This window comes from Homo sapiens, chromosome 9 (assembly GCF_000001405.40).
Source record: "Homo sapiens chromosome 9, GRCh38.p14 Primary Assembly".
Classification (NCBI taxonomy): Eukaryota; Metazoa; Chordata; class Mammalia; order Primates; family Hominidae; genus Homo; species Homo sapiens.
Window position 1 is genome coordinate 92,411,372 of NC_000009.12, and position 17,874 is coordinate 92,429,245.

A 17,874-nucleotide genomic window follows, 5' to 3' on the forward strand; every position below is an offset into this window, starting at 1 on the left:
GCAATGTCCACTTGCTAGGCTCAGATGATCCTCCCACCTCATCCTCCCAAGTAGCTGGGACTACAGGCATGCACCACCATGCCCGGTTACTTTTTCTATTTTTAGTGGAGATGGAGTTTCACCATGTTGCCCAGGCTGGTCTAGAACTCCTGGGCTCAAAGGATCAGCCCACCTCAGCCTCCCAAAGTGCTGGTATTACAGGTGTAATCCACCATGCCAGGCCAGAATTGCTAAATTTGAATTGCAATTTTATTATTTGCTAAGGCTGTTCTTTGAGAATTAAAATGTATTTTCTTTTATTCATTTAGGAGGAGATACAAATTGAAACTCCAGAGCTCTGAAAAAGGAAGGGTTTTCAATCTCTTAAACTGTGCAAGAAGTGAAACAAGTAATTACCATGTCTTTATATTAACCCCAGTCAGGAGCTTGTTCTCTCTACTTTTGCCAGTCAGTTCCTGCCACACATTAACTTTTTCCTGGGAGCCTTCAACTACTCCTCCAGGTCCTCACCAGATGTGAAAGTTATGGTATCTGTGCTTATACAGTTTTTCATAGTCACTGCCGCTTTAGCATTTTATTTCTTCCTTGTGTTAGAGTGAGTTGTTTGATCTTCTCTTTATTAAATTCTTCAAATAACTGTTTTATTGAGATAAGTCACATTCAATACAATTCATCTTTTTAAAGTATATAATTTAATTAATGAATTAATTAATTAATTAATTTATTTATTTTTAGAGACGGGGTCTCACTCTATTGCCAGGGTGGAGTGCAGAAGCATGATCATGGCTCACTGCAACCTTGGTCTCCGGGGCTCAAGCAATCTTTCTGCTTCAGCCTCTTGAATAGCTAAGACTGCAGGCATGCACCACCATGCCTGGCTAATTTTTAATTTTTTTGTAGAGACAGGGTTTCACTGTGTTGCCTAGGCCAGTCTTGAACTTCTGGCCTCAAGCAATTCTCCCACCTTGGTCTTCCAGAGCACTAGGATTACAGATATGAGCCACTGCACCCAGCCTAAAGTATACAATTTAATAGTACTTAGTGTTTTTGCATTTGTACAACCATCACCACAGTCAATTTTGGAACATTTTCATTACTCCAAAAAAGAAACCATATACCCATTAGCAGTTACTTCTCACTTTCCCCATTCCCATGATCCCCAGCTCTAGGCAACCAATAGTCTTTGTCTCCATAGATTTCCCAGTTCTGGACATTTCATAAAGATGGAATCATACAATTTGTGTCTTTTTACGACTGACTTCTTTCACTGAGCATAATGTTTTCAAGGTTATCCATGTTGTAGCATATGTCAGTGCTTCGTTACTTTTTATTGCTGAATAATATTCCACTGTATGGATATATCACATTTTGTGTATCCATTGATGGACATTTGCGTGGTTTCTACCTTTGGATATGGCTGAATAATATTCCATGAAATGGATATACCACATTTTGTTTATCCATTGATGGACATGTGGGTGATTTCTACCTTGTGGATAATGCTGCTGTGGACATTTATATGCAAATTTTGGTGTGAACATGTGTGTTCAGTTCTATTGGGTATATAGTTAGGAATGGAATCGCTGGGTTATATGTAACTAAGCTTTTTTTTTTTTTTTTTTTTTTTTTTGATATGGACTTTTGCTCTTGTTGCCCAGGCTGGAGTGCAATGGCATGGTCTTGGCTCACCGCAACTTCTGCCTCTTGGGTTTAGGCAATTCTCCTGCCTCAGCCTCGCAAGTAGCCGGGATTACAGGCATGTGCCACCATGCCTGGCTAATTATTTTGTATTTTTAGTAGAGATGGGGTTTCTCCATGTTGGTCAGGCTGGTCTCAAACTCCCGACCCCAGGTGATCCACCTAACTCGGCCTTCCAAAGTGCTGGGATTACAGGTGTGAGCTAATGCGCCCGACTATATGTAACTAACTTTTTAAGGAACTTCCATACTGCTTTTCTAAGCAGCTGCAGTATTTACACTCCTTCCAAAGGTGTATGAAGGCTCCAATTTTTCCACATCTTGCCAACACTTGTTATTTGTCTGCCTTTTGATTTCAGCTATCCTAGTGAGCACATAGTAATATCTCATTTATTTGCATTTCCCTAATGGCTCATAAATTTTAAATTGCTCTAGGTTAGGAATTGTCTTATCTTTGTTTTCTAAAACACCTATAGTATTTTCCACGTATTAACTCTTAATGTTTGAATTTATATCCTGTATTTAAAAATTGCAAGAAAAGGGAGGTGGGCCTTAAGATTTTTTTTTTAACCTCTGTTGAAAATGTGCTTTGCCCATATTGTGGCATCATAGTTGCACATTGTACTTTGTTTATTGATCCCTTATTGCCAAGCCCTATATAAGAAAGGACTTGATGAATGTTGATTAGACGAATGAATGGAGTTTTCTTCATATTCATCCTGGATTCTTGAGGTTGTCCCTGGGAACAGGTGGGCGTTCTGGTTCTGATAATGCTAATAATTCCTCAAAGATGTAAAGAGCATTAAAGACTTCACTTTAAACTGGTATTTCCAGAAAAAAAGACTTGCAAGCTTGAAAACTATTTCTGAAGTATAGTTTGACTTGTCTGTCTGTTGCATATTGTCAGAATTGTTATCATTTGTATAGGCAGCCCTAGATTGGTATTTGTCCCTTATCTGAGAAATTCTATGAAACATTAGCATGGTATATCAAGAGAGTTCATCACAGCAGTTAGATAATCATCATTGTAAGGCACACTTACAATACTTAAAAATAATACATTAACGAAAAAGTGATTTTTAAGGTTTTAAAGAAGATGTTAAAACCTGTCATTCAAATTATAAAGGAACTGTATTCAATTTTAGCTTATGTAGATATTGGCTGATAAGCATAAAGTGTTTAGTATTATCTTTAGAACTTTATTTTGCCAACACTAATTTAATCTTGCAAACAAAGCAGTTATTTCTTTGCAAATCATTTTGTAACAAAGAGGCCTTTCTATGGTTGTATTTTTACAAAAACATTTATCCCAGTTAAAATGGAACACAATAACATTGTTTAGGATAGTTGCTGAAATCTGCTAAAATACAAATTGCAATGAGATAGTTTGGTGTTTTTTAGTTGTCCAAATACAGCTTTATAATTTTGTTGTTTTGGTATTCTGAGGCAAAAAGATTAGTTAATTTTGTGAATCTGTATGCCTTGGGTCCTTAGTACCTGGATGGCCTCTTACAAATCAAAAATATCATTCTATGTGCTATGTGGTGAGCTAGGGGGATGGATGTCATAATGGTGAGATCACAAATACCAGTGTGAAAGCTTTCCTGAAGAAGAGGTCAGAGAAAATGGTCTATTCCTTAAATGAATGCTTGTTACATTAATATACCTTCCTGTCATTTAAATATTGTCCTCAGAGTGATCAAAAAGGTCATGGCCTGTGGGTCTTTACTGCTAATGCTACTTCCTTCCTCATTTTTAGAAAAATTACTGTTAATAGAAATGATACACTCACTTTCTTTAACATGATATTTCTATATTTAAAAAGAGCATAAGAAACCATTAACGTTTAATTTATGATTCCCACTTGTCATTCTAATTTATATTTTTAAAGATTTACATTATTTTGAGTAAGTTCTAATCCTATGAAATGATGCAGATGTCACCAACAACTTAAATTCAATTCTGATCTTATACTAATACATAATTCTAAATATATTACTTTGAGTAATACATGTTTACTTAGATTTACTATATTAAGTATAGGTTTTGTGAAGTCGTAAGTGTATACCTATATAGTTTCTTGCTATTCTTGATTTTCATAATAATGAAGGTCAAAGTGCCCTTCTGCTCCTTCTTGTTCTGGGCTCTCATGAGCATTGTCAGGATCATCGTGATCTTCACTTTCATCATCATCATCTGGAAATCTCCTGAAAACTTGTGTCTTTAGTTGTATTGTTTGACCATTAGTGCTTCGTTGTTCACCATAATAAATAGTGTGTATATGAGGGAAGCAGAAGAAGATGTATGAGCTTATTGGTTCTTTTAGTTTATTTTGGTCCACACGAATGTATGTTAAATGGTGGTAATGTAGTGGGTCAATAGAAGGACACATCACTGTAAGATTCATCTCTGAAAGAAATAAATTAAAAATTAATCTTGTATTATAGTATAATCCATAGTTATAGCCATAATTCTATGTTAGATTTTATATTGTATGGGATATAATTCTGTTAATTAAAATATTTATAAATTGAATTAGGTTTCCTTTTTATATTAATCAAATAATAAAAAGAAAATTAAATTATGAGTTTTATATTAACAAAATATATATGGCTTCATTGGCTTTTCTGATTAATAAATTCCTAGTAGAACAATCTCAAAAAAAAATTATCTACAATCCCACTACTTAGGATACTCATATTTCTTCATGTACTCTATTATTTCTCTCTTTTATATATATACATATATAAAACTGACAATTTATACATATATATAAAAAAATATATATATATAAAATTATATATTTCTTCTTTTTTTCTTTTTTTTTTTCCTGTTGCAAGGAGAAAAGGAAACATTGTGGAGAAAGTGAGTAAACTCAGAATACGCTCTGTATAAATTGTCAGTTATATATATATGTATAAATTATCAGTTATATATATAAAAGAGAATATATATTTTTTATATATAAATAAATATATTATATATGTGTGTATATATATATATTTATTTATTTATTTATTTATTTATTTATTTTATTTTTTTTTTTTTTAAGACAGAGTTTTGCTCTGTCATCCAGGCCAGAAAGCAGTGGCATGATCTCAGCTCACTGCAACCTCCGATTCCTGGGTTCAAGCAACTCTCATGCCTCGGCCTCTTAAGTAGCTGGGAGTACAGGCACATGCCACCATGCCTGGCTAATTTTTCTATTTTTGGTAGAGATGGGACTTCACTATATTGACCAGGCTGATCTCGAACTCCTGGCCTCAAGTGATCCACCCCACCCGCCTTAGCCTCCCAAAGTGCTCTGATTACAGGCATGAGCCACCACGCCCAGCCTATTTCTCAATATTTAAGGCAATAAAATTTAATAAAAAGGACTATAAACTGAATAGCACACATTTCTCTGGGGCAGATTTCTGCCATTCCCTTAAGCAACTTCAAAACAACTATTTTCAGCAATGTCTAAAGCATAGCTTATTGAATATTTTTTTCTTTAAAAGATCAGGATTCCATTCTTTCTCTCTTCAAAACACAATAAAAGTCTACATACTTTCTATTTCATTATTTTGTAGGTATAGGTGTTCCAAATTTCTTGGAATATAGAATGCTTGCTTCAATTTGTTGTGTCCAACACTGAGTTCTACAATGTTGGGAAGATTAAAAATATTATATGGGATGTCTTGTAGTTTGTTGTGTGACATTCTTAGAGTATGAAGTTTTGGAAGTTTGTCGAAGTATTTTTCGGGTATAGAAGAAATTGAATTATTTTCTAAAGACAGATACATAAGTGAAGAAGGCAAACCAGGAGGCATTGATTCTAATCTGTTACTGCAGAGGTTGAGCTGCATTAGTTTTTCCATTTTGGCAAAGATTTTGTCTTTTAGCAGAGAATCATGAAGATAATTATAACAGAGATCAAGCATGGTCAAGTTTACTAGCCCATCCATAGCATTTGTCTGCAGTTTGGAGATTTCATTGTAACCAAGAAGGAGTCTTTCCAGAGATTTAGGAAGAGGAAATGGAAATTCTTCTAAATTATTATGCTCTAGATGAAGTTGTAGTAGATTTGGAAGCTTAGCAAACACACCATAATCAATCTTTTGAGATTTAATTTTGTTGTGGCTGAGGTTAATTTCTTTAAGATGAGTTGCATTGATGAATGAATTTGCAGTCACAGCCTCAATTTCATTGAACTGAAGGTAGAGTTGCTGAATGTGCATCGGAATATTTGGGATAGTCTTGAGTTTGCGATTATCACAGTACATTGATGATGGAAAGTTAGTTGGACAGAAGCATTCACTGACACAGCCTAAAGTATACTGATGAAAAGGAACTCCGTAGTCTACATTTTGACGAAATGGGAATCCTGTTTGGTAATCATCATCTGGCTCTTGGTCATAGTCTTCATCCCACTGATAAGTTTCATATTGGCAATGTACTTTGACTCCAAAAAAGAAGAAAATAACATATATTGGACTTAAAAAACCCATCTTCTTTTTTTTTTTCCTATTGCAAGGAGAAAAGGAAACATTGTGGAGAAAGTGAGTAAACTCAGAATACGCTTTGTATAAATTCTCAGTTATATGAAATGTATTATACCTATGTCTATATATAAAAGAATATCCAGAAAGAATGGGCAGTGCTCAAACCAAAATTTTTTTCTTTTTTTGTGACAGTGTCTCCTCTGTCACCCAGGCTGGAGTGCAGTGGCACAATCTCGGCTCACTGCAACTTCTGCCTCCCAGGCTCCCAGGTTCAAGCAATTCTCATGCCTCAGCCTCCCAAGTAGCTGGGACTACAGGTGCATGCCACTATGCCCAGCTTATTTTTGTATTTTTTAGTAGAGACAAGGTTTCGTTGTGTTGCCCAAGCTGGTCTCAAACTCCTGACCTCAAGGGATCCTCTGGCCTCGGCCTCCCAAAGTGCTGGGATTACAGGTGTGAGCCACCACGCCTGGCCTCAAACCAAAATTAATGTTTAAGTACAAATGAAGTGAGTTTTTTTTCTTTTTTCTTTTTCTTTTTCTTTTTATTTTTGAGATGGAGTCTTGCCTTGTCACCCAGGGTGGAGTGTAGTGGTGCAGGCTTGGCTCACTGCAGCCTCCACCTCCCCGGTTCAAGTGATTCTCCTGCCTCAGCCTCCCAAGTATCTGGGACTACAGGCGCGTGCCACCACGCTTGGCTAATTTTTGTATTGTTAGTAGAGACGGGGTTTCTCCATCTTGGCCAGGCTGGTCTCTAACTCCTGACCTCAGGTGATCCACCCACCTCAGCCTCTCAAAGTGCTGGGATTACAGGCGTGAGCCACTGCGCCTGGCCGAGATTTTTTTTTTTTTTAAGTCACATATTACACTGAACTTGAGTCAAAAGTCTGGTATACTAGACTTTCTACTAAGTAACCATCTTTTAAGAGTCCCAGTTTCTCTTGCTTACTAGGGTATAGATCTATGATAATAGCATGACATCAGTCAACTACAGTCTGATCCCTCCACTGTAAATGCTGTGTGTTCTTTGGAATTACCTGATCCTTTAATGATGGTCACTGCCTGGGGGAGGAAAGACCTTTATTTTAGTTAGAGAGCTTTTGCCTGGGAGATTCTACAACTTCTATTTGCTGATACCTTTTTCTGCCCTTCAGAAGAACGTGAAATGCTCCCTTTTGTGTGATAACTTCAGATATTTAGAAATAGTATTCATGTTTCCTTTTAATATTTTCTGTCCAAAACTAACAGCACCATCAAATTTTCCTCATGAAACAGTTTCCAGAATCCAATTATTTAGTCTCCGACTCTGCTTGAATAACTACTTTAAATCCTAAAGACATACAGTGTTTACATTCTACAAAGTTCAAGTGTCTTTACATTTTTCTTCCTAGCTTCCTTTTTTCCATTAATATATTTAAGTTTTAGATACAAAAATATTATTAAAAACACACTGTCCTTGTCTCCCAGGTGTTTAAAGTCTTGTGGAGAATCAAATACACGTGCAGTAGAATGCAGGAGGAGGATATTGTGTGGAAAAGAATTGCAAAAGGGCACACTTCACAATGAACACTCAGTGCTGAAACTTGAAGTTCTAGGGAAGGGTCAATTATGTCCCAGATGAGAAGCCTGAAACCTATATTTCATTTCTGTCACTTAACATATCTGCCTCTTGCCTCATCAATAAAATAAGAATTGCAATTATAGCTGAATTATACCTTGGCTGCTTATCTTGTATGTTGCCTTGTGTCTTTTTTTTTTTTTTTTTTTGAGATGGAGTCTTGCTCTGTTGCCCAGACTGGAGTGCAGTGGTGCGATCTCGGCTCACTGCAGCCACCACCTCCTGGGTTTAAGCAATTCTCCTGCCTCAGCCTCCCCAGTAGCTGGGATTACAGGTGCACTCCACCACACCCGGCTAATTTTTGTATTTTTAGTAGAGATGGAGTTTCACCATGTTGACCAGGCTGCTCTCGAACTCCTGACCTCATGATCCACCCACCTTGGGCTCCCAAAGTGCTGGGATTACGGGCGTGAGCCACTGCATCCAGCCTCCTTGTGTCATATCTTGCCTGCTTATCCGCCTGGTCGTTGTTAGCATTGTATGAGCTATGCATGTACAAGTACTTTGCACGTTGAAAACTGCTATCCAGATGAAATGAATGTATCATTTAGGAAAAAGGTTTTAAAAAATCCTACCTCTTTTATTCTGAGACCTTTCTACTTTTCCCACCCAGGGTTTCATGAGAGAATGAGTTTCCAAACAAATCATTGCATATAATGAAATGACTTATCTCCTGTTCATGTAGAATGGTTCTAGCTATTTTTCATCATTGGTATAATTGAGAGAATAGTTACTTAAGTTATTTTCTTTGACAGAACCCCATTTGAGAAAGGTTAAGAAACATCTCAATTTCTTCTTCTTTTCTTGTCAGAAATTATAAATGTAACTATTGTGTGTATTTGGAATTTGAAGTAGTTATTCAGGTAGAGTCAGAGACCCTTGAGCTCTCTTCCTGCAGTGATACTTTCCTTCATTCTTCCTCACCATTTGCTCCCATGCACCCGCATCCTGGGTTTTGTCTTTTCTATTACTGGAACCCTTCATACTCTTCATTTTGAGTATTCCGCACTCAGACCACTATCTCTATGTAGTAACTCCAGCTGCAATAATTCTCCAATTTCCGTGGAACCTCAGCTATATTGATTCTACTGTTTTTCACTGTCCCTCATCCATACCTCCCAACATTGTCAGTTCCTTCTTACCAACTTAGACCCCATAGTTGATCACTATCGTTGCTCTTTTGCACATGCCCTAAACTTTCTGGCTCCTTCAATCTGCCAAACTCCAACTCTGGTTACTCCAATTCTCTACCTACTCACAGCCTGACTGTCACAGCTGAATGTAACTAAAGAAAAACAGGAGCATGGTGACTGGTCTCACTCTCGATTCAAGACCACTAACCTCAAGTGCTGTCCTGCTGCATTTCCTTAGACCATCCTCCTTCCCTCTCTTCTACGCTACTGTTTTGTAACTTTCCTCTCTGAAGCCTCTAATACCTTATTCCCCATTATTGTTTTTGGGTGATGACCTTGCTTCTTTTTTTTAAGTCAAGAAAATAGGATCAAGATATCATTTATTTCTATTTTCTTATATGTATCCCTACCTACAAGAAAATGCCAAAATAGCAATGGTTTGGGTTTTGTTTTTGTTTTTTTTTTAACAATATGTGCTTTTGAAATTCATGATGTTTCTTTGTGCAACTCTATATTACATCCATTTTTCTTTCTTTTCTGTGAGATTCGTGGAAGATGTGGCATTTGACCTAGACTTTGAAGGAGTGTTGAGGTTCTCATAGAGGGAAGTGAGGAAGAAGATCTCTGGCTAGAAGAGATGAGCAAAAACATAGAAGCAACAGATGGTGATGTGTTTGGGAAATGTGGTTGGTTAACTCTTGAAGGAGCAAAATAAGACTATTAAATCCAGATCTGAAGGGATTAGCCTAACTTTTTTTTTCTGAGACAGTCTCACTCTGTCACCCAGGCTGGAGCGCAGTGGTGCACTCTTGGCTCACCCTCCATCTCCTGGGCTCAAGTGACTCTCTTACTTCAGCCTCCTGAGTAGCTGGGATTACAGATGCGTGCCACCACACCTGGCTAATTTTTTAATTTTTTGTAAAGACAGGGTTTTGCCATGTTGCTCAGGCTGGTCATGAACTTCTGGGCTCAACCAGTCTGCCCCCCTCAGCCTCCCAAAGTGCTGGGATTACAGGCATGAGCCACCACCCCCGGCCTTGGAGGGCCTAAATTCTGACCTGAGGAATTTGCACTCTGGGAATGAATGCCTAATTTAATGAATTAACATATTTGGGCTGTGATTTCACACTACAGTCAGTGTTCGTGGGTGAAAAAGTAGAGAATCTTGGAAGGAGGTAGATTTAAGGAGTTATGGTATCATACCAAAGGGCAGTGTTCAGAGCAGGCTCTCCTTGCTGGGCTGGAAGCTCCCAGTGGGTCTGCTTGGAAATGCTTATTCACCTAGTGTACTCTACTACTTTACTGTATGTAAACATGCTTAGTGAAGCACTTTACAAATATTAGTAGTTAGTTTGATTGGGTTACATCAGTTTACCGTTGTCCTGAATTATTTCTAGTGATGAGGCACTATGCTAAGTTGGTGGAGAATACAGAAATGAAGAAGACGTGAAGCCATAGTCCCTTCTGTAAAGAGCAAACAGCTTAGTGGAGGAGAGAGATACAACAAAGTGAACCCTAATCTAAGGCAGAGGGTAATATCCTTTATAGCAGAGATAGGCAATGCTGTGGGGCCAGTGGCTTACCTCAGCCTTACGGAGACAGGAAAGTCTTTTGTAGACATCATTTGACCCAGACTTTGGGAGATTAATAGGAATGGATATAGAATATTCTATACATTTTATACTCATTGATGATATTTTATGTATAATTTTATAATATTTTATTGTACTTATTATAGTATAACATATTAACTTTTTTTTTTTTGGAGACAAGAGTCTCGTGCTGTCACCCAGGCTGGAGTGCAGTGGCACAATCTCGGCTCACTGCAACCTCCGCCTCCCAGGCTCAAGTGATTCTTGTGCCTCAGCCTCCTGAGTAGCTGGGATTACAGGCGTGCACCACCACGACTGGCTACATTTTTTTGTATTTTTAGTTAAGACGGGATTTTGCCATGTTGGCCAGCCTGGTCTCGAACTCCTGACCTCAGGTGATCCGCCCACCTCAGCCTCCCAAAGTGCTGAGATTACAGGTGTGAGCCACCTGCCTGGCTGAAAACTCAGCTTGAATTTTATCCCTTTGTTGAGAACATTAGCTAATCATCAGTTATCAACCTTACATTTGAGAATTAGAGTCTGTTGTTCAACAACTATGAAAAATTGTTGGGAAAAAAGAAGAAGGCCTTGAATCAAGACATGACTGGGGCGTCTCTGAAAATAAAGAGGTTTTTAATATTGTCTGCTTTCCGCCTTTGTGAGCACCTAAGAAGAAAGTCTTTCCTTGAGGAACAATTTCTCTTCTAAACCTGAACTTATCTTAAACATCCTTGTCCTCCTCCCTCCACGTTCCTAACCATGTAGTACAATCTTGTCCCACTCCCTTTGATTAAGTGCAGTTTTCTGTTTTGAAATCCATCCTGTTTTCATCTATATGCTCATTATTTTCTATGCCTCTTGCTCTTTCCCCAGGATAATTTCCCCTGTTACAACAATCTCTTATTTTATCCAAATTTTTCATTCCCCAACTAATCTCTTCTGAGTCATTTGCTAAGCATATTTTTGTTACTTCTGCTTTTCATACTCTACAATGTATGCCTTGTTCTCTATAGGATAACTCACAGCAATATTGTATAATTCATTGTTGATCATCTCATTTCCTAATATCTTTTAACAGAATCTAATACAATGCAGTGTTATAAGTGCTCAAAGGTGTGTTGAATGAATAAGTTAATAAGTTATAGGTTAAGGCTTGCTAGCAAATGCTTCTCTCTACTAATGTTGATTATTCCTAGGCATTTATTTCACTATGATAATTTCTTCAAATGAACATATTCATGAGAGCTTGACTGTTCCTTTTTCTATTGAATATTTCTTCATCACAATATACTGTATTCCTCACTTTCCTAGTACATCGTGTAGCAGGAAAAGAACAAATGTGAAAAAGAATGTTTGGAGCAAAGTAATATATATATATTACCAGTTTTCAATGTGAATTTTTCATATTATAGCAATAAAACCATCTGTGTCATAATATTTCTCTTACTTGGAGAAAAGCACTCGTGTTCATCAAGAAAAGTTTCAATTGAAATTACTAATGAGGTATAATTTACTTGTTCAGGAAAAGTTTAAAGTAAAATCCTCAACATTTTATTATGTTAAAGACATAATTGTTTTTATTTGTATGACATAGAAACTAGCATATAAGAAAGCAAATATTAGCATATAATTTAGATTTTTCCAAAAAAGTTCTAAATTTTAATTTTATAAAATTTTTTTGCTATTAAAAATACAATTACCTCAATTATTTTTAGCCATAATACATTTAAATCGTAATTAACTAAAACCCAAAGTAACTAGATCCTTCAATAGACTAGATAGAGCATCTGTATTTTCCCTTTGAGAAAGAAGTAAATGAAAAGAAAAACATTCTATATCAGGGATTTAGTCAGTAGAGAAATTTGGAGAAAATCTTGAGTGAAATTTGTACAAATGCCCATCAACCCCCCAACCGGAATCACTAGCATTGCTCAGCTGTATGCCTCAAAGGCATTAGCTGGTTCTTTGTTACTTATAATTCATAGAAAAAAAGAGACCTAAGGAAGAGAAAGAGATTGATTCCTTTAACCTGAGAATCTTTCCTTTCATTCAAAGTAAAAAAAAATCTAAACAAAGATTTTTTATTGGGTAAATCTTAAATGAGAAAGTTAAACTCATTATACTACTTTATTTGAACATTTTGCCTAATCAAAAGTTTAACATAACTTTTTTACCAGATTTTGCTTCCAAAAATTGTGCTTTTGTAATAGATGCAGTCTATTTTAATATTAAAAAATCCAATATACTTTTAAATTTTAACAGTAGGAATACATTCTTAAAAAATTGAAAATTATTTTATTATCATACCTGTTCAATTTGCTTTAGTTTTCAGGGGTTGATGAATTTGTAAATCCTTTAAATGAATCAGAAATTCCTAAATTCTTTAACTGAGTCTCTTAAAAATCCACAGTAACTCTGTGTCCAGACAGGGCTGTCTCTTGAATTACTGTAGCAATTTAAGCAAATACAATCTTCTTGGAAAACACTCGGGTTGAATTAAAATTATGTATTTCTTTTCATTACATGAAACTTTGTGGATTCAAATTAAGATGCTTGTGTTCTTGGTCAGATTTATGTGGCTTACTTCTTTCTTTTCCCCTTAATTTTGGTTTGAGGTGTGGCAAGAATTTCCTCTAATGTGAAAGGCAAACAAAACTAAATGAAACAGCATGTACTGATTACTGTTTTTATTTTCATTTTCATGCCAAAGAATTCTTCAAATTAAGGCCCACTGTGACAGGGAACTCCAGAGTCTCAGCAACTTAAGGTGGAACTCAAAATTTCTTTTTTAATTTTTTGAGATGGAGTCTTGCTTTGCTGCCCAGGCCAGAGTATAGTGGTGCAACCTCGGCTCACCACAACCTCCACCTCCCGGGTTCAAGCAATTCTCCTGTCTCAGCCTCCCAAGTAGCTGGGATTACAGGCATGAGCCACCATGCCTGGCTAATTTCTTGTATTTTTAGTAGAGATGGGGTTTCACCATGTTGGCCAGGCTGGTCTTGAACTCCTGACCTCAGGTGATCCTCCCGCCTCCACCTCCCAAATTGCTGGGATTACAGGCATGAGCCACCACGCCTGGCCTGGAACTCAAAATTTCTTGAGTCCCTTGGTTATTCAACACCTAGGTTCATATCAGTACTTCTATTTGTTAAAACAAGAAATCAGGATTAGAAACATAACATTTCGCATTGTTTATTTTTAAAATGCACTTGATTGTCATTGCTTACACAGATTAACTATACGACTTTTCTATACAAAGGCTTACATCTTCATTTTTATCATCATTTTTATCAGCTATCTCATTTCTCCTCTTTTTGGCAGATGTACCCACTAGAATGACTTCTAATATCCTTTCAGATAAAATTAGTCAGTTGGTTGCACTCCAAAGGTGTATCTTCAATTTGCCTGTTTTTACTATTGCACAAAATAATTCTGTAGTATTGAATAAAATGGGATGAAAAGCTTATGTTACTCAATAGCTATTGCCTTTATTTTGTAGATTTAGAAAATTTCTTCATTTCATAGAGCTATCTCTCCTGAATAGTAACAGTTAACTGTTTTTAATGTTTAATTTTTACACTGTTCTCATATTCTAAACAGAGAGTTGACTTGTGTCTTTTGGCAGTAGATTCGGAGTTCATTTTGGGGGGGAATTCTTTTAAGCTTTTACAAACTAATAAGATAAAGTGAATCCTGGAGTTCATTTTGTTTCCTCAAAAAAGTGTTTTCCATTAGCTTTTTACAAAGAACTCACAAGATTTATTTTGTTAAACTTTGCATTAAGAAAAGTATACAGTGTTTCAAGTGATGCTTTGGCAGTTGTAAAAATCTAGTCTATTATTTGAGACATTGGTATGAAAAACGTGGCAGACCACACTTTAGCCAAGATTCCATCTTGTTACTGATCTTTTCCATATGTTTTCTGTTAGTGTCTTTGTTCTTAAAACTCAGGCTTTCACTAAGGAAGAGAGAGCAAATCTGTGTACTTTTTCAAAAAATTGTTTTATAGGCCTTCACAGTCCTTTTGGAAGATTAACTGAAAATCAACAGCCTAATGTTTATATAACTTCTCATTAACTCTGTGATTTGGATTTATGATATTGATTATGTTATTCATGTTTTTAACAAGTGTGAAAGAAAAATCAGTAGATAACTAGAGCAGACAGAATAAAAATGTCTAGAAAATTTAAACTGATTGGCAGTGTCTATCTAGGAGGTTTAAGGTGGCAAGGGATGGGGATGGGGGGAGGTGGTGGTAGTTAGAGTCAGGCCTTAAAGGAAAAAATAGGGGATGTGAGTTTGTAATAGTTCACTGTTTTAGTTAAGTGGTTATAATTGTAGCAATTGGGGAGAAAAGGAGTTGAATTGTTGAAAAGTGTAAATTATATGCTATGATTATACTTTGATTGAAATAGATTCAGTATCTCAAAGCTGAGTGACACAGGACTGGCTAGGAAAGGCCCTCCTGAGACCTGCTTAATTAACATAATAAGCATTACAATTTTCTGCTCATTTGTTCCACTTTATTCACTGGACACCTACTTTGTGCAGATTTTAGATGCTTGGGACTCAGCAGTGAAAGTCTCTGTTATAGAGAAGGAAAACAGAAAATAAACATAAATAAGCATAAAATGCAGAATATAAACAATGTAGAGTGCGATGGAAGAGAATAATGCAAGGTAAAGGGATAAAAATGAATGAGGCATGGGGGTACGGGTCAACAGTTCAGGCACCGCTGTATGTGGGGACTGGAATGGAACAATTAAGTTACTGTATGGCAGATGGTGAGAGCCAGGTGTCTCACCGTTGGAGTGGAAGTTACAAATAAATAAGCGAGGTGAGGTGGTGACAGTGATTCATGTGGTAATAGATTAGAGTTGAAGACATCAGTATGAACTCATATTTAGCTTAATATAGATACAGCTGGTTAAAAGGGAAATGTAATTATGTTATATACACATAGTACACACATAGACCTCCTTGCTCTGTTGGCTGAGAGATCCTACAAGCAGGAGCACTTTAAGCAGCAACAAACACAAAGCCCAGATCTTGGTTTCTAACATCATTTTCCAGTAAAAGGAACCAGGGCTGCTCCTTGGAGAAATGGCTGTTTCCAGGAGGACTGGAGCAAGGAAAGTAGGAGATGGGCCTGGAGCATTGTACAGTACCAGAAAAAGGGCACTCAGCAAAGAAAGGGATCTGGGGAGTCTCTGTTCTTCCACTCAGTTTTGCTGTGAACCTAAAACTGCTCTAAAAAATAAAGTCTATTAATCTTTTTTGTTGTTGTTGAGACAGTCTGGCTCTGTCGCCAAGGCTGGAGTGCAATGGCGCCGTCTTGGCTCACTGCAGCCTCCACCTCCTGGGTTCAAGCGATTCTCCTGCCTCAGCCTCCTGACTAGCTGGGATTACAGGTGTGCACCACCACACCCAGCTAATTTTTGTATTTTTAGTAGAGACTGGGTTTCACCATGTTGGCCAGCCTGGTCTTGAACTCCTGACCTCAGGTGATCCGCCCGCCTCAGCCTCCCAAAGTGCTGGGATTACAGGCATGAGCCACCGCAGCTGGCTATTAATCTTTATTATTTATTTAAGTATTTATTTTTGAGATGGAGTTCCACTCTTGTTGCCCAGGCTGGAGTGCAGTGGTGTGATCTTGGCCCACTGTACCCTCTGCCTCCCGGGTTTAAGCAATTCTTCTGCCTCGGCCTCCCAAGTAGCTGGTATTACAGGCATGTGCCACCATGTCTGGCTAATTTTGTATTTTCAGTAGAGTCGGGGGTTTTCCATGTTGGTCAGGCAGGTCTCGAGCTCCTGACCTCAGGCAGTCCACCCGCCTCAGCCTCCCAAAGTGCTGGGATTACAGGCTTGAGCCACCATGCCCTGACTATTAATTAATCTTTGAAAAAGGGCAGGCAGAAACTATTTTAAGTAGTTTAGATATTTAGAACTAAATATGGTGATGGGGCAAGCCAAGTTGGTATCAGAGTGGTGACAGGCCAGCTTGGCTGATGCCTAGTGATCTAGGAGGAGGGAGTAGGTGGTACTCTCACAGGTAGCCAGTGTCAGCAGGGTCAAGGCAGACATATGCCTGGAAGTAACCACCTCTCAGCATTCTAAATGGAATCAAGTTTGTAAGGCAGATAATGACACTTAGCTGATGAACTACTTCTATCAGAAAGGCCACTTGGGCAGCCCTATAGAAACAGTCCAAACATTAATTGCAGTCAGTCTCTTAGTCTATCTGCTCCCAGGGGGCTATGAGGAGCAGAGGCTCCTGAATTCATGGCCCATACTCACAGGCTTTCTTGGCCATCATCATTCACATTTTCTGTAAATGGTGCCCCCATGCCAACCCTGACCACTCTCTTGTGTAAGCCAGAAGTTTGGGAGTCCTTTAAATTAGTACCTTCTCAAGTGTGGCCGGAGGTCCATCATCATCAGAATTACCAGAGCTGCTTATTAAAAATTCAGGTTCCAGCATCTTTATACTCAAGATCTACAAAATCAGAACCTCTGAGCATGGGCCCAGGAACTTCCATTTTAAACAAGTGTCCCAGGTCCCACCAAACCTTGAGAACCACTGATGTAAATACTTCTCCCTGACTTTCAAATTGAATCTATTGGTGAATCTTTTGTGTTCTACACCCAAGTATCTTTTTGGTCTGTCTGTGTCTCATACCATGACTGCCATCATCTCAAACCCAGGTGTTCTGGGTAGGGTCTTGACTATGTTCATACATCTCCAAGCAATTTTCTTCTTGTCTGCATAAAAATCAGACTGCACACTGTGTCTACTTAAACTTCCTTGTTTCTGCTTGTTACTTGCTTCTACTTGTTACTTCCAGTGATGCTTTATTTAAAAAAGTAAATTCCAAACATTGATCTTCAAGATTGGGGATGATCTGACCTTGGCCTACTACTTGCCCATTCTTGGAATGTTCAGTTTGCAGCACTGCTGGTTTCTGCGCTGTACCCACACTGGCTTCTTTTTGACCCTCACATTGCCATGTTTCTGTCTCACTATGACCTTTGAAGGAGCTTCTCTGTCTCTTGAGGATGCTAGGCCTCTGTACCTCTCAATCTTGTTGTTAGCTAACTCTTATCTTTAAGACATCAGCTTATTCCAGTTGCAATTAATTATGAATGTAATTATTTGTCTGCTTTCTCCTTTCTGATAAGACTCTTTTATGAGCTACCATGTCCCCAAACTGTCTGTCAATAGTGGGTGCTCAATAAATATTGTTTGAATGAATGAATGAATGCACAGTACCCTCCAATGTGCATCTTCTTCTCCATTTTCTGAATGTTTCTATTTTCCTGACTGTTGGAGGAAAGATGCCTCCAGACAATG

The 17,874-nt window shown here is 37.6% G+C and overlaps 2 protein-coding genes across 5 annotated transcripts in view; one reads left to right on the forward strand and one right to left on the reverse strand.

The window, feature by feature from the left end:
• Nucleotides 1–17,874, forward strand: part of CENPP (centromere protein P) — a 295,062-nt gene that overhangs the window by 85,904 nt on the left and 191,284 nt on the right. The gene's annotated exons all lie outside the window — the stretch shown is intronic.
• On the reverse strand, nucleotides 1,009–13,100 carry OMD (osteomodulin). Its single transcript, NM_005014.3, has 3 exons — nucleotides 12,831–13,100; nucleotides 5,248–6,203; nucleotides 1,009–4,106 (listed from the first exon to the last, which is right to left on the reverse strand). The coding sequence occupies exons 2-3, from the start codon at nucleotides 6,185–6,187 to the stop codon at nucleotides 3,781–3,783; spliced, it is 1,266 nt and encodes a 421-aa protein (NP_005005.1). The 5' UTR covers nucleotides 6,188–6,203; nucleotides 12,831–13,100; the 3' UTR covers nucleotides 1,009–3,780.

What these genes read in the sequence shown, in the direction of transcription:
- OMD (NM_005014.3), bottom strand. Translation starts at nt 6,187, where the DNA reads ATGGGTTTTTTAAGTCCAATATATGTTATTTTCTTCTTTTTTGGAGTC. An exon ending in ACAAAATAATGAAATAGAAA is followed by an intron (nt 4,107 to 5,247) that starts GTATGTAGACTT and finishes TATTTCTTTCAG; the next exon opens with AGATGAATCTTACAGTGATG.